Source organism: Homo sapiens, chromosome 22 (genome assembly GCF_000001405.40).
Source record: "Homo sapiens chromosome 22, GRCh38.p14 Primary Assembly".
Lineage (NCBI taxonomy): Eukaryota > Metazoa > Chordata > Mammalia > Primates > Hominidae > Homo > Homo sapiens.
In genome coordinates this window covers 23,984,505-24,011,074 of record NC_000022.11, presented here as the reverse complement: position 1 = coordinate 24,011,074, position 26,570 = coordinate 23,984,505, and the positions used below count along the sequence as shown (strand labels likewise).

Here is a 26,570-nt window from a genome sequence, read left to right as displayed (position 1 = left end):
CGGGAGTGGAGCTTGTTGTTTCCGGATCCCCGTCGTCAGTCCTAGCGTGCTGGAGGCTTAGAGCACCAGCTCGTAGTCGGACTCTCTTCTCCACAGCTTGCACCCTGAGCAGTCACTAAATGATGGGCTGTGTGTTATTACCTGGGACATGTGCTCTGAAAACAGTGGAAACTTGGGGAACACTTAGAGCGGGGTGTCCAATCTTTTGGTTTCCCTGGGCCACGTTGGAAGAATTGTTTTGGGCCACACATAAAATACACTAACACTAAGGATAGCTGATAAGTTAATAAATAAATAAATAATAAAAATAAAAATCACCAAAAAATCTCAAAATGTTGTAAGAAAGTTTATGAATTTGTGTTGAGCCGCATTCAAAGCCAAGCAGACCAGCGCGTTGGAGAAACTTGACTTAGAGGGAACCAGGGAGGAGGAGCATCCTCATTCATTATATTACCTGTGCCTCTCTTTCCAAAAAGGATGTGAAGCCCAAAAGGAACAGATACAATAGGATATTGAAACAAAAGGAAAAAAAGGAACAAAACCTAGTAAATGAACAAGAAGAGGGGTCATGGGTGGTGTCAGAATTCCAGAGATGAAAAAAGGCGACAGAGTTGAAGGGGTTCTGTCAAGGGTCTTGGGCTGAAAGATGGTACTCTCTTGGGAGCTAGAATAACAATAAAGCATTGTAGGGAAGAACTTTACACTGTGGTTGAATTCATAGCTGCTTGAGTCTTGCACAGATGATTCAAATAGGAGTGAATGTTGGGGGCTTTTTAACCTCAAAGACAGTAACAGCATGGTGAAAAACTCAGTTCAGTACAATAAAGCTATACTGATAAGCTAGAAGTTCTGAAAATTGTTGAGTCACCAACCTTGACTTTGAGTATTGGGGTAAACAGTATTTGGGGGGTAAACAGAAGCATAAACAGATGGTTTCAAAGCTGCATGGATAACCTTCAGCCTCGGATACAGCTTCCACTCAAGCCTTATCATGAAAGATGCGCTGGAGAGAAACAGTTGAAAATAGGTGGGAAGGGTGGTCCAAGCAGCAAGAAAGTTGTGTGGGGAAGGTCCGGAGGTGAGAAACATGCAGATCATGCTGGAGTGTCATGCAGCACAGTGTTACCGTGAGGCAAAGCTCAGGGCCACAGTGGGGAGAGAGCACTCTGGAGAGTTAGGAAGAGGCCAGTCCAAACAAGCAAGCAGAAAACATATTGTTGCAGTCTTGCCCGTGCACCACAATGTACCAGTCTCTCATTGTGGGGTATCACCCAGAATTCTTTGTCTCACGACCAAGAAAATTAGGGAGTGTGGACACAAAGGGTAAGGTTGAAGCAAAAGTTTAATAAGCAAATGAAGAAAGCTCATTGCAGCTGGCGGGGGGCCCAAGCAGGTTGCCCATTATGAGGCTGGGTCAGGGGGTTTTATGGACTGGGAAAGGAAGGAATGTACTGACTGGTCTTGGAGAAAGCACTACTCAGCTTGGCCCCTGGACCTTGAGGGACCAATCAGGAGCTGAAGTGATAGCCTGGCCCAGGACCAATCAGAGGCTCACATTCTAAAGCACGTCCAAGAAAGGAAAGTGCCCACTGGAACCCACTGTAGCCCACCGTGTACATGTCCACAAAAGGAGAAGAGACTATTTCCTGGAAGCCCACTGGTTATACAAAGGACAAAGGCATTTCTATGCTGGGTCTTGTTCCCTTATCAAAGTAGCTGTGGGCATGCCTTAGGCACAAAGATCAAAGGTGTTTCTGTGTTGGGCATTGTTCCTTTATCTGAGTGAGCCAGAGGTTTGTGCAAGTTTCCTTATCTGTGCCTGAAGCCTGATTTTTCAGGCTGTTCCTCTGTTTAAAGGAGTTTTACCAAGGACCCACCTTAATTACCTAACTTTTCTCTCTCAATATCACTCTCACTACACTGAGGATGGCAGATTTAACATGGGGAATCTATATCAAAGACTGTGGCCTTATGGTCTTGGTGAGAGTTAGGCCTGAATCCCATCCATGGTGACCGCAACGATTCATTCATATCCAATGCAAGCATTCCCTGAGGCACTCTGGGAAGCAGGACACCATGAAACACACTGGCAGAGGAATGAGTGCAAAATACTTGGGTCAGGGGTCCAGGGGAAGGAACTCCAAGGTCTAGCTATCAATGAAAGTCCTTAGCAGTGGTTAGGTACAAACACACCAGGCACAGGCATATTCCATTAGAAATTGATTTTATTAACTACATAGACTGCACAGACTGAAAATCTGAATTTGGTGTTTCACTGGTACGCTAAAGATAAGGATCATCAAAGGTTTATGCAGGGAAACAGTGACCACCACGGTGTCCAAGGGTCATTAGAGGAAAATTCTGCATGGAACATGTGGAAAGCTACAGAAATGGAGACTCCCTATAGGCTCCCCCACACCACCCCTACATACTTTGACATTCAACAGACTGATAGGATATTTAGATAAGAGGGTGGGGACCTCATTCATTCAGTTTCAATGCAGTTTCGGCGCTGACATTGCATTTCCAGGTTTGGCATTCTGGGACATGGGTTTTACAAGGTGCCTAGCTACAGAGAATTATCAGCAAGAGTTAACAGAGAAGATGAAGTTCTCTGCCCAGGAATGCCCAGAGAAAGTCCCTGAAGACAAATCTGCCCTGTGCTCTGGCCCACTACAGCAGACTATGGAGAGGAAACAGCTCAGAACTAGTGGAGAAGGGCTGAGCAACTCCTGGAGGTCCAGAATTCTGGGGAGGGCAGGTGAGAGGAGCAGCAATGGGGCTTGAGCTCTTCCTGGACCTGACACACTATCCACTTTTGCAAGACAGAATGACATCCCTTTTGAGCTGTGGATGGTGGAGTTGGCTTGGGGTGAGCCAGGTGGCTGGGCTGGGCCCCATGGAGTGGGTGCCAAGGACCAGGCCCTACACTGAGCCTTCTCTCCTTTCTGCCCACCAAGGGAGCACCTGAAGCCTGAGTTCCTGAAGGTGAACCCCCTGGGGAAGGTGCCTGCCCTCAGAGATGGCGACTTCCTACTAGCAAAGAGGTAATGGTGACCTGGTGCCCACCCAGGGTCAGAGCCAGGATCTGCCTGGGTTCTGGGGCTCAGAGTTGTAGGGGGAGGCAGAGGCGAGAGGGGAGATCTTTCCTTGGCTTGGAGATCTTTCCAAATCACTGAGGCCCCTTCCTCATTTCAGCCTGTGTAGCTCCGATGCAGAGGCTGGACCCAGGGGCACCTTTGGGCTAAAGCTGGAGGCTGGAACCTGGCTAGAGTCTGAGCCAGCTGGAGCTGCCCAGGTGGGGAAAGGACGTAGGTCACCCGGATAAACCTGGACAACCTGAAGCCAGCGGGCAAGGCCCAGGCTTGAGGCTGGCTCCTCCCCAAATGTCCCCAGCTCATCCTTTCAGAGTCCTAGGAGCTGGGCAGACCCAGGGGAGACTCCACATTCAATCCCAGCTCACCACTTCCTCAATCCATGCCCTTGGGGAAATCACAGAACTTTGTGTGCCAGGTTTCTCCTCTGTAAAACGGAGTGGGAGGAATAATGTATCCACCTCCCAGGGCTTACCTGAGGATAGAAAATGGGCACCTAGTGTTCTGGGGCACTAGGAAGGGAACTTGGAGACCTTTTGGGCAGGGCCCACACGGCAGGCACTCTGAGTGGGGACCCTGATGCCAGGGAGTGGGGCCTGGGCACAGAGGGCAGGATGGTATGGTAACTGGGAGGGGAGGTGGAAACATGGGCCCAGGGAGGATCAGAGTTGGAAATGGAGAAACAGAGTGGTTTGGTCGTGGGGAGATACTGCCTGGAGGGAGTTGCAGTATAGGGGAGGTCCTCCCCTGAAGGTGAAGGTGGGGAGAAAACCTGGTCAAATCACCCTGAGTATGAGCAATGAAGCCACCTGGCCCTGACAGGCTGGAGAAAAGATCTCTGACACCCCCTGCCCACAGCATGGTCATCGTTTTATACCTGAGTCGAAAGTACCAGATACGGGGACACTGGTACCCACCTGAGCTGCAAGCCCGCACCTGCGTGGATGAGTACTTGGCGTGGAAGCATGTCACCATCCAGCTGCCTGCCACCAATGTCTACCTGTGCAAGGTGAGCTTCCTAGGCCCTGTCATGCAGGCTGGGGCAGGGGCCTGGACCCCCAGAGATGGAAGGCACCAGTTGGTACATATTACATATTAGCTTCACTTCCACTGTCCTCAGCAGACATAACTAATCTATCACAGTACTCCTTCCCCTAAGCCTGAATGAATCCTTAGAAACCTTCTGAACACAGAGCCCCAGAGGACATCACTAATGAGTGGCAGCCGGGAAGGGATGGAGAGGAGGCCCAAGAGGCTTCCAAGAGTCTGGGTTAAGTTGCTCCTCTCCTCCCAGCCCAGTCTCTCCTGCCCCACTTCTCCGGACAGCCTGCAGATGCTGCACAGCTGGAGCGGCTGTTGGGGAGGCTGATGCCAGCCCTGCAGCACCTGGATTGGGGGGTGCTGGTGGCCAGGCCCTTCCTGGCAATGGAGCAGATCTCCCTGGAAGACTTGGTGCTGACGGAGGTGATGCAGGTGAAGCTTTCCTACCCACCTGCCCTCTGGGGGGACTCTGGGCATGGGGCTGAGCCCCAACCCCAGCTGCCCTGTCTTCCCAGCCCACTGCCGTTGGCTGCGACCTCTTCCAAGACTGCCCCGGCTGGCAGTGTGGCAGGCCCGTGTGGCGGCTGCCCTTGGTACTGAGCTCTTGCTGGAGGCCCACAAGCTCATACTCCAGCCTCTGAACCACAGTGAGGCTTGGCGGGACCCCCAGCTGGCCCAGAAGCAGGTGCAGTGGGTGCAGCCCACTCCACTGCACCCTGCTGTCTGCAATAAACACACTGCATGCTCTTCGCTTGTCTCCAGGCTTACTCTGTCACCAGAAGTGGGGTCAGTCCCATTTCTCAGCCTAGACCTATTAGATCACAGCATAGAGTGAGTGGCACTCAGTCCTCTACGTGGGGCTCTAGTTACCTTCCTTGGCCACCAGGTACACAGTCTGGCCACTGCAGCCCCAACCAAGGCCAGGAAGTTTCTAGGCTCCTCTGTGTGGCACACACCGGCTGAGTGCCCCCTGACTTCCTGGTGGTGGTGTCCCCATTGCTCCCAAAGCTCACAGTTTCCTGTGTCTCTTTCTCCCAGTTCCTTTCTAGTCATAGTTCAGGCTCGATTCACCTGTGTCTCTTTCTCCCAATTCCTTTCTAGTCATAGTTCAGGCTCGATTTACCTGTGGATACTCCCAGCCTCTACTTCTAGAATCCTCCAGGGATAATTCTCATTGCCTCCTCTTCATTCTGGACCCTGCAAAGCCCCTTTCGTCAGGTTCTGCAATGAAAATCCAGCCGTGGGAATTCCCAGGCATAATCCCTTCTCAGACTGGTGTCTGTGAGGTGGCACCACGGGGCACAGGCACACGTGGAAGGGGGAGAGTAGGGTCACGGCTGCCACACCTTTGCCACGGGCCTCTCCCCAGCCTACTCCTGGGCCTCCTTAGAATCCTTGATGCTGTGAGAATTGCAGGCTTCCTGGCCTTATGACAACACAAAGGGAAACAAGAGGTTTCCCTGGGGAACACAGGATCCTGGGCCCAGATCGGAGAGGGCACAGGGCCAGGGACTCTGGCCAGACATAGGCCCAGGTCTGTGGCTGGCCAACTGCGGCTGTGGGGCCTGGCATGTGTCTCAACATGGCACTGGAGCTCTACATGGACCTGCTGTCAGCACCCTGCCGTGCCGTCTACATCTTCTCGAAGAAGCATGACATCCAGTTCAACTTTCAGTTTGTGGATCTGCTGAAAGGTCAACTCCCACTGCTGCCTGGCAGGCCTGGTCCTGGGGGGAGGCAGGACACACAGATTGCGGCTTTTCTTTTTTTCTTGTTTTTTGATGGAGTCTCGCTCTGTTGCCCAGCATGGAGTACGGTGGTGCTATCTCGGCTCACTGCAACCTCTGCTGGGTTCAAGTGCGTCTCCTGCCTCAGCCTCCCAAGTAGCTGGGATTAGAGGTGCATGCCACCACGCCCAGCTAATTTTTTGTATTTTTAACAGGGGTTTCACCATGTTGGCCAGGCTGGTCTCAAACTCCTGACCTCAAGTGATCTGCCCACCTCAGCCTCCAGAGTGCTGGGATTACAGGCGTGAGCCACCGCGCACAGCCTGATAGGGGCGTTTCTGAGGAGCAGAGACAGAGACAAGGGAATCACCCCAGAGGTCCACAGGGAAGGAAAAGATGCCACGCGGCTTGTAGGCTGCATCCTTGTCCAGCCTACCTTAGTCAGTGCTCACTAATGACAGTCCCCACGCCACAGATGAACAGGCTTTTCGAGGAGAAGGGGGAAGGAACAGTAGCTGGGACTCCCTGGGCTCCCACCAGGCACCCTGGCTTCCTTGTGGGATTCTAGGACCTTGTGAACTCAGCACCTGCCCACCAGGTTGGCAAAGGGGGCAGAAGTGCACAGTCCGTCTACACCCATCCTCCCCAGTGTTGAGAAAGGCTCAGGGCTCCACTAACCCTGAGTGAGGGTCAGAGGGGTGGGCTCCAACTCCATCCCCAGCACAGAGGGACTCCAAAAGCTCAGCCTGCAAAAGCAGAAGCCTCTAGAACACAGAGGAAGAGACAGGGAAGCTGTGGAAATGAACGGGCTGCGAGTGGAGCCCCCAGAAATGTTTCCAACTGGAGGCGGCTGGTCCAGGAAGAGTTTCAGTTCCTGCCCCCACCTCAGGTTCCCTGTTAAGATGACCCTGATTGTGTCCGAGAAGCTTCCCTTTGGATGTCCAGCTGTGTGCTGGGCCTGGCTTCCTTAAAGTGGAGACAGAGTGAGAGCGATGGGATTGCGGATGGGACCCAGGCCCTCAGGGCTTCAGGTGATTCAAAGGCTGTGTTTTCAGATCCAGCTTTGGGGGTGGGCACTGGAGGCCTCCAGCTTCTGGGTAAAAGGGTCGTCCTGGTCCTGGGACACAGGTAGGAGGCACGGGAGTCACCAAACCTAGGGTGGAGCAGGCTGGGAGCCAGCAGTTCTGATCGCAGTCCGGTTCTGCAACTGCCTTGCCCTGTGACCTGGGGTGAGACGCAATGTCCCTCCGGGCCTCAGTTCCCTCTTCTTGAGAAAATAGAGAGGGAGGCGTTTGGGTCTCTGGGAGTCTCAGTTCTCTCTCCCCTGGAGTCCCACAGCCTCAGACCTTCCCTGCCCCTCCCAGGTCACCACCACAGCAAAGGATACATTGACATCAACCCCCTCAGGAAGCTGCCCAGCCTCAAAGATGGGAAATTTATCTTAAGTGAAAGGTAAGTCTTCCCTGGGGCCCTTGCACCATCTGTCTCTGCTTCTCCTGGGAGGTTCAGTGCAAGCATTTGTCTGTTTGACCATGGAAAATCTCACACGTGCACTAAAGGAGAGTGAATACTAACTAATGAGGGACACGAGGAACCCCACAAATCCATCGCCCAGCTCTGACTCTTGCCAACTTGGGGTCCAGTTTACATCATTTCTATTCCCCTGCCTCCCAGACACCCCATCATTCCATTCATAAATGTTTAGAAGCCAGCTCATGCCTGTAATTCTAGCACTTTGAGAGGCTGAAGTGAGGGGATGGCCTGAGCTCACGTGTTCAAGACCAGCCTAGCCTAGACAACATGGCAAAACCCCATCTCTACAAAAAATACAAAAATTAGCCAGCATGGTGGTCTGCACCTGTAGTCCCAGCTACTCGGGAGGCTGAGGCGGAAAGACTGCTTGAGCCAGGAGGCAGAGGATGCAGTGAGCCAAGACTGCGTCGTTGCACTTCAGCGTGGGCAACAGAGTGAGATCCCATCTCAAAAATAAAAATAAATAAGTAAATAAATCAATAAATGTTTAGGAACATACTTTTCAGAGATAAGAGTTCTTAAAACAAACAAAAAAAAAGCAACAGGCTGGGTGTGGTGGCTCATGCCTATAATCCCAGCACTTCCAGAGGCTGACACGGGAGGATCGCTTGAGGCCAGGAAGTTCAGAACTGCAGTGAACTCTGATTGCGCCACTGCACTCCAGCCTGGGCTAGGATAGAGCGTAGCATCACTACGATACCATTAAGATACCTCATAAAATTAACAATAATTCCTGGATTTCATCTAATATGTGGCTCCTGTTCAAAACTCTATGATTATCTCCTAAACATTTTCTTGGCAGTTTGTTTGGATCAGGATCCAAAGAAGTTTTTTTTTTTTTTTTTTTTGAGACGGAGTCTCGCTCTGTTGCCCAGGCTGGAGTGCAGTGGCGCTATCTTGGCTCACTGCAAGCTCCGCCTCCCGGGTTCACGCCATTCTCCTGCCTCAGCCTCCTGAGTAGCTGGGACTACAGGTGCCCGCCACCATGCCTGGCTAATTTTTTTGTATTTTTAGTAGAGACGGGGTTTCACTGTGTTAACCAGGATGGTCTCGATCTCCTGACCCCATGATCCCCCCGCCTCGGCCTCCCAGAGTGCTGGGATTACAGGCGTGAGCCACCGTGCCCAGCCAAGAAGTTCTGAGTCTTGCAGCCAGTTGCTGTCTCTCCTGCCACTTTTTAACCGATAGCTCTCTCCATGCCCTGACCTTTTTACCTTGGCATGGTTGCTGCTGGTGATGATAAAGGAGCCCTTGTTCTGCGGAGGTTCCCACACCAGCCATCAATCAGCAAGGCCTAGGACATCCCCTCCGAAGCATGTCTCCCCTCCATCCCCTTCCCTCTGTCCCCATGGCCTCCAACATTCCCAGACACCACAACCTTCCCGATAGTTGCTGGCCCCCTCATTGTCCATTCTGCCCCCTCGGGCTCACCCTCCATCCAGCACCAGAGAGATGGATCCTTTCATGCCCTGGCTTATATAATGCCTAATCTTAAGCATTAAGTCCATAACCTCCCTGCACCTCCAGGGGCTACCCTACGTGGACTCCACAGTGTCTCTGGCTGCCTCATCACTCCCCAATCACCCCCACCCTTCTTCCAGTTGCAACCCCCTACTCTCTTTTCTTCAGATTTACCTTGCTCCCTTTACCCTCGTATTTCAGCATGTGTTTTTCTTTGTTGGTTTTTTGAGACAGAGTCTTGCTCTGTGGCCCAGGCTGGAGTACAGTGGCACAATCTTGGCTCACTACAACCTCTGCCTCCCAGGTTCAAGTGACTCCCGTGCCTCAGCTTCCCAAGTAGCTGGGATTACAGGTGTGTGCCACCACAACTAGCTAATTTTTGTATTTTCATTTTAGTAGAGACAGGGTTTCACCATGTTGGCCAGGCTGGTCTCCAACTCCTGGCCTCAAGGGATCTGCCCCCATTGGCCTCCCAAAGTGCCGGGATTACAGGTGTGAGCCATCGTGCCCCCCCGTTTTTGTTTTTGAAAAAGGATCTTGATCTTTCACCCAAGCTGGAGTGCAGTGGTGTGATCTTGGCTCACAGTAGCCCCAAATTCCTGGGATCAAGTGATCCTCCCACCTCAGCATCCCAATTCAACACGTGTTGTTCCCCCTGCTGGCCTACTCTTTGTTATACCACCAGCCCCCAACTCCTACTCACCCCGCAGGGCTCCTTCCCAGCCCTTACTGACTGTCAGACAGACAGCTCTGGTGAAGGTCTTTCTCGGGGCCGTTTGGGCTCCTCTTTGCTCTGGAAGCCCCAGCAGTTGGGCCCAGGCCACACCGGGGTGGTTGATGTAGTGGCACTCAGGAAGGCAAGGGCAGTGCCCCTGACCGGCCCCTTCTGCAGCGCGGCCATCCTTTACTACCTGTGCCGCAAGTACAGCGCACCATCGCACTGGTGCCCGCCAGACCCGCACGCACGTGCCCGTGTGGATGAGTTCGTGGCTTGGCAACACACGGCCTTTCAGCTGCCCATGAAGAAGATAGTCTGGCTCAAGGTGAGCAGGGCCACTTCTGGGGCTTGGGGACACGGGCACAGGGAAGTCAGGAAGGCTGGAGGCCAGTTCTGGCCCTGCTGACTGCCGGCGACCTCAAGCAAGTCTCCCTCCCTCTCTGGGCCTCATTTCCTCAGCTCCTTCTCCTGCCCGCCTTACAGAGCCGTCAGGAGTGTGGACTGAAACAATGGGCATGAAAGAGTCTTATTAGGGCGAGGGGAAGGGCATACGGGAGGGGCTGATGTGACTCACCCAGGACAGCATTCGAGGCATTTCATTCTGAACTAGAGAATCTCAGCGTCAAAAGGCCCACAGAAGGCCGGGTACGGTGGCTCACAACTGTAATCCCAGTACTTTGGGAGGCCGAGGCGGGCAGATCACTTGAGGTCAGGAGTTCAAGACCTACCTTGCCAACATTGTGAAACACCATCTCTACTAAAAATACAAAATTATTAGCTGGGTGTGGTGATGGGCACCTGTAATCCCAGCTACTCAGGACGCTGAGGCAGGACAATTGCTTGAACCCAGGAGTTGGAGTTGGCAGTGAGCCAAGATTGTGCCACTGCACTCCAGCCTGGGCGACAGAGTGAGACTCCATCTCAAAAAACAAAAACAAAAAAGAGTATGGCCTATAGAAAATTAGAAGATGACAAATAACCAGTACATGTGTCTCTACTTTGAATTCTATGCCTGTGACAGACATCACTAATCAATCACAGGACTTATGCCTGCTGAGCTCCCCAAATCCTTGTGAACACATGGTTCCCAGCAACTTCCACCAATCAGAACTGCTAAAAGAGGTGAAACTGCTTTATATCCTGGGAAGTGTTCAATATCTATCCAGCAGACAAGAGTACAGAGACCTGGCAGGGCAGGTGGCCCTGGAGTGCAGCCTCCTCTTCCCTCCTCTTCCCAACCCTGGCCAGTTGCTGATCCCAAAGATAACAGGGGAGGAAGTTTCAGCTGAGAAGATGGAGCATGCAGTGGAAGAGGTGAAGAACAGCCTGCAGCTCTTTGAGGAGTATTTTCTGCAGGATAAGATGTTCATCACCGGGAACCAAATCTCACTGGCTGACCTGGTGGCCGTGGTGGAGATGATGCAGGTGTGGAGTGGATTGGAGGAGGGTTAGACCCTGGGCAGAGGTAGGACTCCTCTGTGACCAATGGGGCCATCACTTGAGGATAGGCTGGTGAGGCGGGAAAGGCAGGCAGAGCTGCCATGGGGGCTGCGGGAACCAGGCCTGGGGGCCTGGACTCAATCGGGGCAACAGGAAGCACAGAATGTTATGAATCAGGAAGGATCACAGTTCTCCACACTTGACAAAGATTCTTCGGTGTGGGAGGACCCGGAGGGTGAGCCTGGGATAGAGAAGAACACTGCATTTCCTGCTCAATCCACCGGCATCCCAGATACCTCCTCCTCTTGCTGGACTCTCCAGGAAATGTTCACTGGCTTCCTGGGTGTCCTTCTGGCCCTGCCTGTTTCCCAGAGCTCCAGACAGACAGCTCTGGAGGACAGCTCTCGTGGCTGGGTCTGAGGGGCATCCACTGTGCATTTGGAGGCACACCTGAGTGTGGGGCATTTATGTGGCCTCTACATGCAGGGGAGGGTGACCAGTTCTGCTTGTCAAGACACTGGCCAGGGTCTCAACTGGCCATCCTGCACACCAGCTAGGGCACTGCACACTGACCAAAGAGACTAATTTGCATATCAGCCAGAGATATGCCCGAGAGGAGGGACCTGGGGTCCTGGTGGATTGACCAGAAAATGCAGTATTCTTTTCCTTATCCCAGAGATCTCTGGCTGATATGAAAATTAGTCTCCTTGGTCTGTTTGCAGGGCAGACCAGCACCAGGAAAAATCATTCTGGCCTGCCCCAAGGGTTCAGCCATATGCTTCGTCCCCACCCCTTACATTTCACCCACACACACCCATTCTTGGGCTTCCCAAAGATCTTGGGTGCAAACCAAACTCTTAGTAAGCCAGCGAAACTGCAGGGTAGACTGCCCGCCAGGTCTCCCATCCTAGCCCCTGAGCTTGATCACAGTGGGAGGCTAAACATGGAGGAAAAAACCTGAGTTCTCTCCCTCATCCACATATACACACCTGGGATAAGGGGTCTCCCTGGAAGAAGGCAGGATTCATGCGAGGTCGCAGGCTGGAGAAGTGGGAAGTGCCTGGGCCAGGAGCCCTCTCAGCATGGTTCAGAAGGCTTGGAGCAAGAAGACCAGTGACTGAGGACTCTGAGGGATTCTGGATCCTCCATCCCCACCTACATCTATTACATAGTCTGTGACCCCTTGCTCAGGCCTTGGGGGTCAGCAGCCTAATTCTTTGCATAGGTAGATGTTAGGGACGTGGGCCTGAGGCTGTGGGAGAGGACCCAGGTGGGGCTGGTCCCCAGGCTGACCACGTCTTTGTCTTCGTCTATCTACAGCCCATGGCAGCCAACTATAATGTCTTCCTCAACAGCTCCAAGCTAGCTGAGTGGCGTATGCAGGTGGAGCTGAATATTGGCTCTGGCCTCTTTAGGGAGGCCCATGATCGACTAATGCAGTTGGCCGACTGGGACTTTTCAACATTGGATTCAATGGTCAAGGAGAATATTTCTGAGTTGCTGAAGAAGAGCAGGTGACCCTAGGCGCAGCCTGTCCCGCAGGGCCTGGCTGGCTTAGCAATCTGAGCCACCTTCCTTAAAGGAAATGTTAAAAAAAAAAAAACAAAAAAACAAAAAAACAACTGTTCTTTGCCTAATAAAGAACTGGAACAACCATCACAGCTGCTGAGCAGCAGACAGTTGGCATATGCATAGGGTCTGATGTGGGAGTGGGTGGTGGTTACAGATCCTTCCAGTTTCCAAAAAGAATTTTAAAAGTAAAGGGTTAAATATGGTTACATTGTGAGTAATAATAGTTGGTGACTTCAATACCCCACTTTCAGTAATAGAAAAACTACAGAAGACCATCAAGGAAATAGGGAATTTGAAAAGCACGATTAACCAATCGCATACACTAGACATGAACAGAACGTTCCACCCGACAGGAGCAGAATAAGCATTCTTCTAAAGAGCACATGGAATATTCTCCAGTATAGAGCATATATTTGGTCCTAAGTCTCAAATTTAAGATGATTGAAATCACACAAAGTATGTTCTCTGGACACAGTGGAATAAAGTTAAAAATCAAGAACAGAAGGAAAACTAGAAAACTCACAAGCACATAGAAATTAAACAGCACACTCTTAAACAACAAATGGGTTAAAGAAGAAATCACAAGGGACATCAAAAAGTATCCTGAACAAATAAAAATGAAAACACAACATGCCCAGATTTATAGGATGCAGCAGAAGCAGTTCTAAGAGCAAAATTTATAGCTGTAAACACATAAGTTAAAGAAGAATGATCTTGAATCAATAACCTAACTTTACACCTTAAGGAACTAGAAAAATAAGAGCAAACTCAACCCAACACCACTAGAAAACAGGAAATAATAAAGATTAGAATGGAGATAAATGAAATAGAAAATAGAAAAGCAATAAAATCAATAAAACCAAAAATTGGATCTTTGCAAAGATCAACAAAATTGGCAAACCTTTACTTAGAATAGCCAAGTGAAAAAAATAAGGGTCAAATTATTCACCAAGAAAGAAAGTGGAGGCTGGGTGCAATGGCTCACACCTGCAATCCCAGCACTTTGGAAAGCAGAGGCAGAAGGATCACTTGAGGCCAGGAGATTGAGAACAGCCTGGGTAACACAATGAGACTTTTTTCTAAAAAATATATTTTTTAAAAAAATTAGCTTGGTGTGGTGGTGCAAGCCTGTAGTCTTAGCTAACTGGGTGGCCGAGGTGGGAGGATCACTCGAGTCCAAGAGTTCAAGGTTACACCGAGCTATGATTGCACCACTGCACTCCAGCCTGGGCACATAGAAGAACCTTATCTCAAAAAACAAACAAAAACAAAAATGAAAAAATGAAATGGAAACCAGAAAGAAAGAAAATGGAGACATCACATTGGTCATAGAGAAATTCAAAAGTTTAGAAATACTATGAATAACTATATGTGGACAATTTAGACAACCTAGATGAAATGGGAAAATTTTAGAAACACACAATCTACCAAAACTGACTTAAGAAGAAAGATAAAATTTTAATAGGCCTGTAACAAATAAAGAGATTAAAATATTAATTATTTTTAAAAATTCCACAAAGAAAAGCCCAGGACCAGATGGCTTCCCTGGTGAATTCAACCAAAAGCTTGAAGAACTAACACAAAGCCTTCACAAACTCTTCCAAAAAAATAAAACAGGAAGAAATATTTTTCAACTCATACTATGAGGCCAGAATTACTCTGATACCAAAGACAGAAAAAGACATTACAAGAAAATAAAGTTACAAAGCAATATCCTTATAAATATAGATGTAAAAATCCTCAGCAAAATATTAGCAAATCAAATCCAGCAGCATATTAAAAGGATCATACACCTTGACCAGGTAGGATTTATCCCAGGAGTACAAATGCAGTTCAACATACAAAAATCAATCAGTGTAGCATACCATGTTAATAGAAAGTCACATGATCATCCTAATGCACAGAAGGCATTTGACAAAACCTAACATCCTTTTACGATAAAATTACTCAGCAGATGAAGACGAGAAAGGAACTTCCTCAACTTGACAAAAAGCATCTATGAAAAACCTATAACTAACACCATACTTCATCCATTGTGAAAGATCAAGCGTTTCCCCCCTAAGATCAGGAACAGGACAAGAATGTTCATTCACACTACTTCTACTTATTAGGGCAATTAGGCAAGAAAAAGGAACAAGGTGGAATCTAGATCAGAAAGAAAGAAGTAAAACCATCTCTATTCACAGATGACATTACAGAAATTCTTAACTCACTTAAAAACCATTAGAGCTAATAAACAAGTTCAAGGCTGGGCACGGTGGCTCACACCTGTAATCCCAGCACTTTGGGAGGCCAAGGCGGGCAGATCATGAGGTCAGAAGTTTGAGACCAGCCTGTCCAATATGGTGAAACCCCGTCTCTACTAAAAATACAAAAATTAGCCGGGCGTGGTGGCGCATGCCTGTAGTCCCAGCTACTCAGGAGGCAAAGGCAGGAGAATCACCAGAGCCCAGGAGGTGGAGGTTGCAGTGTGCCAAGATCAAGCCACTGCACTCCAGCCTGGGTGACTGACTGAGACTCCATCTCAATAAAATAAAATAAGTTCAGCAAGGTTGCAGGGTACAAGATTAATACACAAAAATCAATAGTATACATTTGCAATAAAGGATGAAAAACAAAATTAAAACCACACTTCCATTTATAATACCATCAAAAAGAATAAAATAGAATAAATTTAACCAAAGAAAAGCAACATTTCAACACAGCAAACTACAATGTGCTGTTGAAAGAAATTAAAGAAGCGCCACCAAGCAATCTGACCTGAGAAAACATGCAGGTTCAACAGAATGAGTCCTGCTCTTCAGCAAGCACCCATCTTGTGTTCAAGCTGGGTCTATGAGGCAAGTTTGGCAACATAGACATGGACATGCCACCAAATCTGTAATGTAGAAAAGGCCAAGGGAAGGTGGATCAATCATTGGAAACATTCAACAATCCATGGAAGAAATGTTAAAAATAGAATCTCAGGGTCTGATGAAGTTGGAATATCACTCTTCTATGTATTTCGGTTGGAATCTGTTGAACGATTGGATAAAGTAAAAGTATAGGGAATTATTAGGTAGCATTAAATGTGTAATAAATGTAAAGAGAGGGTGCAAGTGCATACAAGGAAGTGTACGCTACTGGGTTTCTGTTGAATTGTTCATGGAAGACCATCAGCAGTTCAATTCCAAAAGCTTGTCTTAAAATTAGCTGGGTGTGGTGGCGTATGCCTGTAATCCCAGCTACTCAGGAGGCTGAGGCAGGAGAATCGCTTGAATCCGGGAAGCAGAGATTGCAGTGAGCCAAGATCGCACCACTGTACTCCAGCCTGGTGACAGAGCGATACTCTGACTCAAAAAAAAAACAAACAAACAAAAAAAAAACTTGTCTTGAGGGACTACGCCAGCCTTAACAGCTACAAACATCATGGAGGAAGCTGTCTGCCCATTAGAAGCCCAGAGCCCAGAGGGACAGACTAGAGCAAATCCTCTCCCTCATTGGAGCTAGATGGGAACACAAATCTATCTGATAACTAACATGCAATTTTACATCTCTTACCTTGTTTAATCCTCACAACCACCCTGATGAGTAGTAGTATTATGCCCATTTTGTAGATGAAGAAACAAGTTCTTCAAGGGGAAGGGTAGCATATGAATGAGAGGCAGAACCAGAGTCAGGACCTATATCTTGTCTTCTCCTTCCTAAAACTAGAAAAGTACCCACAACCAGGCAATGCGTTTGGTGCAGAAAAAGCAGTAGTGAACAAAATAGGCAAAAATGTCTGCCTTTAGTGCTCACATTGTTGTGGAGAAAGACAAACAATAAGCACAGTAGAGAAGTAAAAATTAGAATGTTTTGCTAAAAAGTCCATAAAATTGAATATTATTCAGCCATAAGAAGGGATGAAGTACCGTTATATGCTACAACATGGATGAACCTTGACACCATTATGCTAAATGAAAGAAGCCAGTCATAAAAGGCCACATATTTCATTATTACATTTGAATGAAATCTCCAGAATAGGCAGCTACTTCCTATCCACAGAGGTAGAAAGTAGATGAATGGTAACCAGGGGCTAGGGGAAGAGGGGAATGGGGAGTGACTCTTTATTGGGTACAGAGTTTCTTTTTGGGTGATGAAAATGATCTAGAATTAGATAACTGTGATGGTGACAAAACTTTGTTAATATACTAAAAACCACTGAATTGGCTTTAAACCAATTGAATTTTAAAGTATACTTTGAAAGGGTGGATATTATGGTATGGGAATTATATCTGATAATGAAAATATGATTACATTGTTCAAAAGCATAGGGAAGAAGCTACAAAAAATATGAAGCATAAATTGTGGCTCTTTTTTATTCTGAAGTGTAAATTTGAACATTATATCTCAAAATATAAAACAAAAACAAAGAAAGCTAAAAGCCCTTCCATTTGGCCATCTTGGAGTAAGACCTACCACAGTCCAGTGCCTTTTACTCAGCCCCACAGCCTAGCCTATTGTTTACATGAAACCCTGTAGCTTCCACCCCTGTTTGACTGTTGGGTGTAAAGTTATGAGTGACCATATTGGGGGAAGGGAGGAAAACTCCCCATAAACGTGTATCCTGGGGGCCTGAGGAGAGACGATGGCCCAGGTATCAGAACATGATATGCCTACTTGTCCCTATCTCCTTGTCCACACATAAGGCTTGGAAGGCAGCCATGTTGTATATCACGTGATCGCCAACCAATGAGCTGATTGGCTTCTTCAACAAGAGCCCAGGTAGAGATTGGTGTCTAGAGGAGCCCATCAGTTTCTAGAGAATCAGGCCTTTGGCAGTGGAAACTCCCCTGGGAGGATGTCACAGGGTCCTCAGGGTCAGACACAGAGAGAAGGAGACATTGGGACAGAGAGAAGAGGCAAGAAAAAAACATACCTTGCAGTCTGTGAGGAACAAGGTGGCCCCTAGGGGCCTCCAGCCCAGGTTCTGAATCAAAGCTCCTCAAAGTTTAAGGTGCATTTGGATCACCTGAGGATCTTATGAAAATAAACTCTGTCTGATTCAGTAGGTCTGGGTTTGGGGGTGGGAGCCTGTTAGTATATTTCTAACAAGCTCCCAGGCAAGGCTGCTACTGCTGCTGATCTAATGACCACAGTTTGAGGCTGGACAGAGTGGCTCACACCTGTAATCCCAACACTTTGGGAGGACAAGGCAGGAGGGTCTCTTGAGGCTAGAACTTTGAGACCAGCCTGGGCAACGCAGCAGGACCTCGTCTCTAAAAAACAAGAGAGAAGAAGAAAAAGGAAACAACAAGAAGACCTCAACTAGAATATGAAGCAGCTAGGCCACATATGTCTTCAATGGAGAAAAGAGCTTTTTCTTGAGTAAATTGGAGTGTACCCATGTTCCTTGTCAATGATGGTAACTTTAAATGTCAAGAATGTGAGAGAGGCCAGGGGTGGTGGATCACACCTATAATCCCAGCACTGTGGGAGGCTGAGGTGGGAGGATCACTTGAGCCAAGGAATTCAAGAGCACCCTGGGAAACAAAGTGCGACCCCGTCTCTACAAAGTCAAAAAATTAGCCCAGATTGGTGGCATGCGCATGTGGTCTGAGCTACATGGGAGGGTAAGGCAGAAGGATTGTTTGAGCCCAGGTCGAGGCTGCAGTAAGCTAAGTTTGTACCACTGCACTCATTCCAGCCTGGGCAACAGCAAGACCCTGTCTCGAAAAAAAAAAGAATAGTAGAGACCAGGGGAAGGTGTGGCCCTGGGGTAGGCGCTGGGAGACTGGAGAACAACTGTTAGTGGTCCCATCACTGCCCAGAGCAGACAGTGCCCTGTCCACCCTCATGAGATCTTTGAACTCCTTGGACAGGACTGGCTATAAATGAAAATGTGGGGACCCTTATTTTTAACTTGTTAAGAATGTTAAGATGGCAACAGCAAAGCTTTAAACCAAGTGCATGGCCCTTCTGCGTTGTAGGCCCACAAGGCCGACACTGCTATTCACATCCTTGTATGGTCCCCTCCCCTTGAGTGTGGCTGGGGCCTGTGCTCTACTGCTTGGAAGCAAGGCTTATCCCTAAGCCTTATTTTCGGGAAGGTGGATTTGAGAGCTACTATCCCACATCCTTGCTTGGTGCCCTGTGAATAAATCTTTTCTCTTTTGCAAAACTCGTGTCATGGTGATTAATTTACTGTGCAATGCCAGGCACTGTTGGAAACCTCTGGATAGGCCTCACAGGGCCTCAGCCATCTCGGGGAGGCGTTAGCTAGAGTGTAACAAATATGACCCCAGCAACTGGGGAGGGACAGCTCATTCCTTCATGAGGTGTGGGGCTGGCAGCCCCGCAGGCAGTCAGCCACCCTTCCTCTCTGGCCTCCGTCCTGGGCACTGGGCCCAGGCACTGGGCAAGGAGGCTGCTGCACCTCCTTTCTCCTCTTCCTTTTTTTTTTTTTTTTTTTTTGAGACGGAGTATGGCTCTGTCGCCCAGGCTGGAGTGCAGTGGCGTGAGCTCGGCTCACTGCAAGCTCCGCCTCCCGGGTTCACGCCATTCTCCTGCCCCAGCCTCCCGAGTAGCTGGGACTACAGGCGCCCGCCACCCCGCCCGGCTAATTTTTTGTATTTTTAGTAGAGACGGGTTTCACCGTTTTAGCCAGTATGGTCTCGATCTCCTGACCTCGTGATCCACCCCCCTCGGTCTCCCAAAGTGCTGGGATTACAGGCGTGAGCCACCGCGCCCAGCCTCTCCTCTTCCCTTTTAGTGGGAAATATACCTGCAGCCTAGATTCCCAGAAAGGGGTGGTGAGAGAGCAGACACGCCACTGATTGACCCAAAGTTCTAGGAGCCAAGGGATGAGTGAAGAGGGCGTGGCCGGACTCGGGGCTCCTGGTGAGGTGCACCGCTGCAGGCTCGGTGACCCAGCAGTTCCTGCCCATCCCTCACCTACCCCCAGCCGTTCCTGTCCGCCGCCCCCAACCAGCCATTCCTGCCCGCAGTTCCTGTTCCCGGGCCTGTCCCCGGGTTTGTCCCCAGGGCCCGTCCCCTGGGTTTAGGTCTGCCCTCCGACGCCCCACCCCATTGCCCCCGCCATGGGTCTGCTGTCCCAGCCCTGCCGTTCAGTCTACATCTTCGCCAAGAATGGCATCCCCTTCGAGCTTCGCACAGTGGAGCTGACCAAAGCTGGGCTGGGCAGGCAGGCCCAGGGGATATTGGCCACGAATCCCTGCCTGTCCCCGCTGCTTTGCAGTCGGGCCAAGAATGCAGACTAACACGAAGAATCAGACTCTCCGGTGTGGAAACTATTACATAATTATCTATGTTATTATTTTTACTTTTTGGAGACAGCATCTAACTCTGTCACTCAGGCTGGAGTGCAGTGGCACAATCATGGCTCACTGCAGCCTTGACCTTCCAGGCTTAAGCGATCCTCCCGCCTCAGCCCCTCAAGTAGCTGGGACTACAGGTGCCCACCGACATGCCTGGCCAATTTATTATTATTATTATTATTATTGAGAGGAGGTCTTGCTGTGTTTCCGAGGCTGGCCTAGAACTCCTGGGCTCAAGTGATCCTCTTGCCTTGGCCTCCCAAAGTGTTGGGATTACAGGCATGAGCCGCCATGCCCCACTGGTTGTCTATTTTAATAGAGGCTTGATCTTTGCTTGTGAATACAAAACATTCTTCAAAATACAGGTTTAGAGAGGGCACAGCAGGCACAGAACGAGGGTAGGGAAATGGAGTGGGGCAAGAATATCTTCACCCCATGTGCTTGGAAAAAACAAACTGCCTCGTTGTTTCCTAAGTAAAATAGTCCCTGTCTACCCCTGCCTGTGTCTCTTCCACTTTTTTATTGTTTGTTTGTTTATTTATTTATTTATTTATTTATTTATTTATTACAGTGTCTCAATCTGCAGCCCAGGCTAGAGGGCAGTGGCATGATCCCGGCTCACTGCAGCCTTGACCTCTCAGGATCAAGTGATCCTCCCAACTTACTCCTCCTAAGTAGAATAGTTGGGACTACAGGCACGTCCCCGTGCCCAGCTACTTTTTTTTTTTTTTTTTTTGGTGTGTGTAGACGCGTGATTTTGCCATGTAGACCAGGCTGACCTTGAGCTCCTGAGCTCAAGTGATCCTCCTGCCTCCTCCTTCTAAAGTGTTGAGATCACAGACATGCACCACCATGTCTGGCCCTGGGTCTCTTCCACTTTTATGTATTTCTTGGCATTCTTCTGCCTTTTCTTTTTCCTGCATCTGACTTGCTCTATCCCATGGGGCTTCTCACCCAGCTGAAGGGGCTACTCCTAGAGGCTAGAGGCTGGAGGGCCCTGTGGCAGGGCAGTGGGGGAGGCCAGCACCCTCACCCTGAGCTCCAGCGTTTGCTGGTCTGGCTGGCATACAGAGATGCAGCTGGAGCACAATTCAGTGGAGGAGGCAGGGCTATAACTAAGCAGTAGGGCAGAGAGCAGAGCCAGAGCCCCCTGGGCAGGCCAGAGGGAGGACCCTGCTCAGCTGACTCTTCCCAACTGCTGCCCTTGGTACAACCAGCTTGAGTCACCTGCTACAGAACAGGGGCTGGACACAGAAGCAGTCTGTGGAGGGAGAATGGGCAGGGGTGTGCATGTCCATTCAGTAGAAGGGCAAAGAGGCCCACATGTAGGCCTATGATCAGACTGGAGCCTGGCTTGACTGAGGTCCTCTGATCCAAACACCAGGCACCTAATGCGGCCTCTAGCACTGGCCTAGAATGCTAAAGTGAGTCAGACCTGGGAACCCCCAGTGGGGAGGGAGCCTTGAGAGTTTGGCATAAGAAAGGAAGAAGAGCTGAGCCACCGGGGGCTGAGTGGCTGAATGGGGCAGGGATTCCCAGCAAGAATGAGGTTGGTCTGAGGGTTGGGAACATGTTTGGCTGGGACTCTGGGGTATTGACAGGTCACCCAGCCTGGCCAGTAGGGCCTAAGTCCCCAGCTGGGATAGGAAGCTGAATCAGAGGGGGCAAGCCTAGAGCCCAGGGAGGAGGCTGGAGGGGTCTGACCTATGGATGGAACTGGCTGGGGGTGGGGTGTGAATTACAGCTCCAGGGAATTGTCCTTGAGCCATGCTTCAAGGAGCTGGACACAGGAAAGATGGCCCTCTGATGGGGTCAAGGTCTGTGACCCAGTGACTAGCAGAGAGGCTTCCTCTTCCCTGATGCCTCCCAGATAGGGGCCTCAGAAAGCTGCTGCTGGGATTTTGGGGTGGGGGTGGGCAGAGACCTCAGAGAACTCTGGGTTATCCCCACTCACCTCTCTGATCTCTCCTGCAGGCCAGCAGCACAGCGATGCCTTTGCCCAGGTGAACCCCCTGAGGAAGGTGCCGGGCCTTGAAGGATGGGGACTTCACCTTGGCTGAGAGGTAACCGGTCCGTGGGCTGCTGCCGGGCCTTGTGGGGCCAGTCGGCTGTCTGTTCACTGTTGATGGCTTGGATCATGGACTGTGGGCCCTGCACCAGCCCCAGGGTGAAGAATGGGTGGAGGCAGGCAGTGGTACCCAGTGTTGACAAGGGTTATAGAAGTCCCCTCCTGCATTGTACAAGTGAGGAAACTGAGGCTGGAGGAGGGGAGGGACTTGCACAAGGCCAGAGGGCCCAGTCTGCTTCCGGGCCTCCTCACCGCCAGCCTTCCCCTCCGAAAAAAGGAGAGTGCTAAGTTTCGAGGAGCGGCTGTACCAGGCATCTTAGTGCTACCATTTTGCCCACAAATCCTGTGGGGCAAGTGCTGTTTCCCTGGAGAGTCGAGGGACCACTCAGCGAGCTTCAGTGGCTATTTGCTAAACATCCACCAGGGCCAGACCCCATTTAAGCCCTGGGGCTTGAGCAGTGAACGTGTCTACGTCCTTCTCCTCATGGATCTCACATTCCATTAATAGAAGGGGGAGCTGACAGTAACCCATGTAAACATGGAACATATCGGATGTTGATGGATGCCATGGAAAAAATAAACAGGGTAAGATTGGGGGTGTGTGAGTAGGATGTTGAGGGAAGACTCCCTGGAGGAAGTGGCATCTGAGCAGAGAGCTGTAGGAATGTGCAAGGCATGAGGAGAAGGGTGTTCTGGCTGGAGGGAAGAGTGATGGCGAAGGCTCCAGGTGGGACAATGCATGGGGTTCAGACTGGAGAGCAACGGGCCAGGGTGGGTGTAGTGAGCAGGAAGAGCAGGAGGTCACGACAGAGGGGAGCATGGGACACTGGGAAGGCTTTGGCTCTTACCGCAGGGGGATTGAGTCGCTGGAGTATTTTGAGCAGAGAACTGTGATCTGACTTACGTCATAAAGGATCCCCCTGGCAGGGGTGAGAAAGCCACTGCAGTCATCTGGCATGCAGCGCTGGAGCCCCAGACCAAGGTGGTGGTGGTGCAGGGTTGGTGGGGTGATGGTCGGTTCTGACTTTTCTTGAAACTCTAACTGCAGGGTGTGCTGAAGGGTTGGAGGTGGGTGGGAAAAATGAAAGCCAAAACCAGCCTCCAGGTTGGTGGCCGCATGGTGGCGTCCTTTACCGAGGCCACATAGTGCCTCCTTGGTGGAGCTGGATTCACATTCAGAGCCTGGGATCACTGGATGGTCCAACACCCATAGAGGCATGATGAGCTCTGGGGGTCAGACTGCACAACCCTTCACCATAGGTGAACAGGAGATGGGACGGGGTGGGGAGCAATGCTGCCATGTCACCTGGAAGGCTCTCTCCCTGCTGGCCTTGCTCCTGGCCCTGTCCATGCTTTGGATATGTTGGGGAGATACCCAACTTGCTCTCATTCTTCAGACTCACACTGGGTGCCCCTTCCTCCTGGAAGCCTTCCCTGAGCCCCTGCTGAAGTTCATGACATTTTGTTTCTTCCTTGCTGCCATTAGTTGAGATGATAATCTGGCCCCGTGTAGGGCTGTGTGACCCTGGGCAGTTACCTAACCTCTCTGAGCCTCACATCCCTCCTCTGCATCATGGGGATAGTGAAAATGCCCCAGAAAATGGCTGAAGAGTGTTCAGGGCATGTCTTCTGCCCCTGCCATGTCCCCCCAGTGTGGCTAGCTTGCTCTATATGAGCTGCATGTACAAAGCACCTGACCACTGGTACCTCCAGGACCTGCAGGCCCGCGCCCATGGGGATCAGTACCTGTCATGGCAGCACATGGCCCTGCAGAGTAGCTGCTGCTGGGCCATGTGGCAGAAGGTGAGCCATGGAGGGCAGGGACACCTCCCGGGATGCCCAAGGGATGCTGCTTTCACTTTACAAAATCCTGTTTAGACCTGAGACCAAATCCTGGAATGCCAGAGACTGCCTAATTCACCCAACTTGTTTCATAGGAGGGAAACCAAGGACCAGAGCCAAGGAAGGATTCCCCTAATGTGCCTTAATTCCACAGCTACCACCTGCACACTTACACTCACACACTGTTCGACACACAGCCACGCACACTCACACACACATCCACCCACGTCCACCCACAGTCACACGATGTATCACATTCACACATATACACCCACACACACAATCATAACATTTACACACAGTCACACAGTTAACTCCTGTACACACATATACACCCACACAATCACATAATTCACTCATATTCAACAGTCACACAACTCACTCACATTGACACACATACACACCAACCCCACACACAATTCACATACATACACACACATATACACCCACATACACAACCACACCATTCACTGACATTAATACAAAGTCATCACACAGTTCAGTCACACACACACACACACCTCACACACACAGGCACACAATTCACACCAACAAAATCACACAGTTCACTCACACACATACACCCACATACACAAATTCACACTGCTCAGTCACATTTACACACCATTCAAATTCACACACATATACACCTACTTACACACAGTTCACTCACACCACACACATATACACCCACATACACACAGTTCACTCACATCACACACATATACACCCACATACACACAGTTCACACACATCACACACATATACACCCACACATAAACAAAGTTACACAATTCACTCACGTTCACACACACAGTTCACTGACATTCACACACGTACACACGCACCACACACAGGCAATTCAGTCACATGGCCGAAAGCCATTCCTCACCTTGCTATGGTTCCCTTCCCAGTGTCACCTTAGCCTTTGGCCCTCAGCGTCCCCTTCCCATGCCTGGACTGCTGGAGAGCCCTGAACACACCCCATCTTCATGCCTCCAGCACTAGCCCAAGCCCTTCCCTCTGCCAAGAGCACTAAGTGCAACTCAAGATCACTTCTAGGGACCCTTCCCTGCCCCTCCTCCTGCCAGGTGACCTAAGGATCCTGCTGGTCCCGCTTGACAATGATGCACAGCATGGTTAGTTCAGCTGAGGTCGCTCTCCCAGACTTACTGCCACCTACACAGCACGGGGACTGACTGTTTAACTTTATTCTTTATTTCGTGTACTTTATTGGAGTGTCTGTTGAAAGCAAAACCATCCAATAAGGAACAATCCCAAGGCAGCCAGCATGGATCAAGAAGGCATAGGCTGTGGCCGCCATCCCCAGTGCCTGATGGGGAGAGGGGGTGGTAATGGAAAAGGCCCAGGAAAGCAGGCCAGAGTGTCCCCCAAAGTATGAGAAATCACTGGAAGAGAGAGCCAGAATGGGACCTAAGACAGAAGCCATCACCAGGCACCCTTAAGGCAGGACAGTTGCAATGGTTACTTGGAATACTTCCGGCTAGGAGTGGTGTTACAGGAAGTCAGTGACCCCAAACAGAGGGACCGGCTGAAGCCATGACAGAAGAACGTGGAGTGTGAAGATTTTATGGACATTTATTAGTTCCCCAAATTAATACTATTATAGTTTCTTATGCCTGTCTTTACTGCAATCTCTAAACATAAATTGTAAAGATTTCATGGACACTTATCACTTCCCCAATCAACACCCTTATGATTTCCTATACCTGTCTTTAATCTCTTAATCCTGTCAGCTGAGGAAGATGTATGTCGCCTCAGGACCCTTTAATAATTGCATTAACTGCACAAATTGTACAGGATGTGTGTTTGAGCAATATGAAATCTGAGCACCTTGAAAAAAGAAGAGGATAACAGCAATTGTTCAGGGAATAAGAGAGATAACCTTAAACTCTGACCACCGGTGAGCCGGGCAGAACACAGCCATATTTCTCTTCTTTCAAAAGCAAATGGGAGAAATATCGCTGAATTCTTTTTCTCAGCATGGAATGTCCCTGAGAAAGAGAATACGCACCTGGAGGTATCGGCTTATAAACAGCCCCCCGGGCGTGGCCTCTCTCTTATGGTCGAGACTGCAGAGGTGAGATAGACTCCAGTCTCCCATAGTGCTCCCAGGCTTATTAGGAAGAGGAAATTCCCGCCTAATAAATTTTGGTGAGACCGGTTGGTCTCAAAACCCTGTCTCCTGATAAGATGTTATCAATGACAATGGTGCCCGAAACTTCATTAGCAATTTTAATTTTGCCTCGGTCCTGTGATCCTGTGATCTCGCCCTGCCTCCACTTGCCTTGTGATATTCTATTACCCTGTTAAGTACTTGATGTCTGTCACTCACACCTATTTGCACACTCCCTCCCCTTTTGAAAATCCCTAATAAAAACTTGCTGGTTTTTGTGGCTTGTGGGGCATCACAGATCCTACCAACGTGTGACGTCTCCCCCGGATGCACAGCTTTACAATTTCTCTCTTTTGTACTCTGTCCCTTTATTTCTCAAGCCGGCCGACACTTAGGAAAAATAGGAAACAATCTACGTGATTATTGGGGCAGGTCCCCCAATAGAGTGGCACATGGTGGGCACAGGTCAGGCATGGGAAATAGGCCCCAAAGCCACAAGACATGTGGGCAGGTAGCGCAGTGTGTGTCTGGAACATCCTGTTTATTGGTCAGCAGTGACATCTACTGTCACATTTGAGAACTGCATCCACAGCCACATGGCCTCCTGTGAAGACCTCAGGGCAAACTGGGGAAACCTG

At 49.8% G+C, this 26,570-nt stretch overlaps 1 protein-coding gene and 1 long non-coding RNA gene across 6 annotated transcripts; one reads left to right on the top strand and one right to left on the bottom strand.

The window, feature by feature from the left end:
- LOC105372959 (uncharacterized) lies at window positions 2,208–5,524 on the bottom strand. The gene is made up of 2 exons (XR_001755457.1): window positions 5,483–5,524; window positions 2,208–5,357 (listed from the first exon to the last, which is right to left on the bottom strand). It is a non-coding gene; the product is annotated as an uncharacterized LOC105372959 (long non-coding RNA).
- A 97-nt stretch (window positions 5,525–5,621) lies between these two features.
- Window positions 5,622–21,960, top strand: GSTT4 (glutathione S-transferase theta 4). Of its 5 annotated transcripts, none has more exons than NM_001358664.2 (5): window positions 5,622–5,830; window positions 7,228–7,315; window positions 9,750–9,900; window positions 10,824–11,000; window positions 12,336–12,674. In NM_001358664.2, exons 1-5 carry the CDS (start codon window positions 5,719–5,721, stop codon window positions 12,531–12,533), a joined length of 726 nt encoding a protein of 241 aa, NP_001345593.1. In that variant the 5' UTR covers window positions 5,622–5,718; the 3' UTR covers window positions 12,534–12,674. The 5 variants fall into 5 exon arrangements, 4 of the variants coding, with proteins under 4 accessions (NP_001345593.1, XP_024307968.1, XP_024307970.1 ...); XM_024452200.2 differs by lacking the exon at window positions 9,750–9,900 and adding an exon at window positions 6,753–6,894 and having other exon boundaries at window positions 10,742–11,000; NR_003081.3 differs by lacking the exon at window positions 9,750–9,900.
- Window positions 21,961–26,570: the final 4,610 nt, after the last annotated feature.

What these genes read in the sequence shown, in the direction of transcription:
- GSTT4 (NM_001358664.2), top strand. Translation starts at nt 5,719, where the DNA reads ATGGCACTGGAGCTCTACATGGACCTGCTGTCAGCACCCTGCCGTGCC. An exon ending in AAATTTATCTTAAGTGAAAG is followed by an intron (nt 7,316 to 9,749) that starts GTAAGTCTTCCC and finishes CCCCTTCTGCAG; the next exon opens with CGCGGCCATCCTTTACTACC. An exon ending in AGAAGATAGTCTGGCTCAAG is followed by an intron (nt 9,901 to 10,823) that starts GTGAGCAGGGCC and finishes AACCCTGGCCAG; the next exon opens with TTGCTGATCCCAAAGATAAC.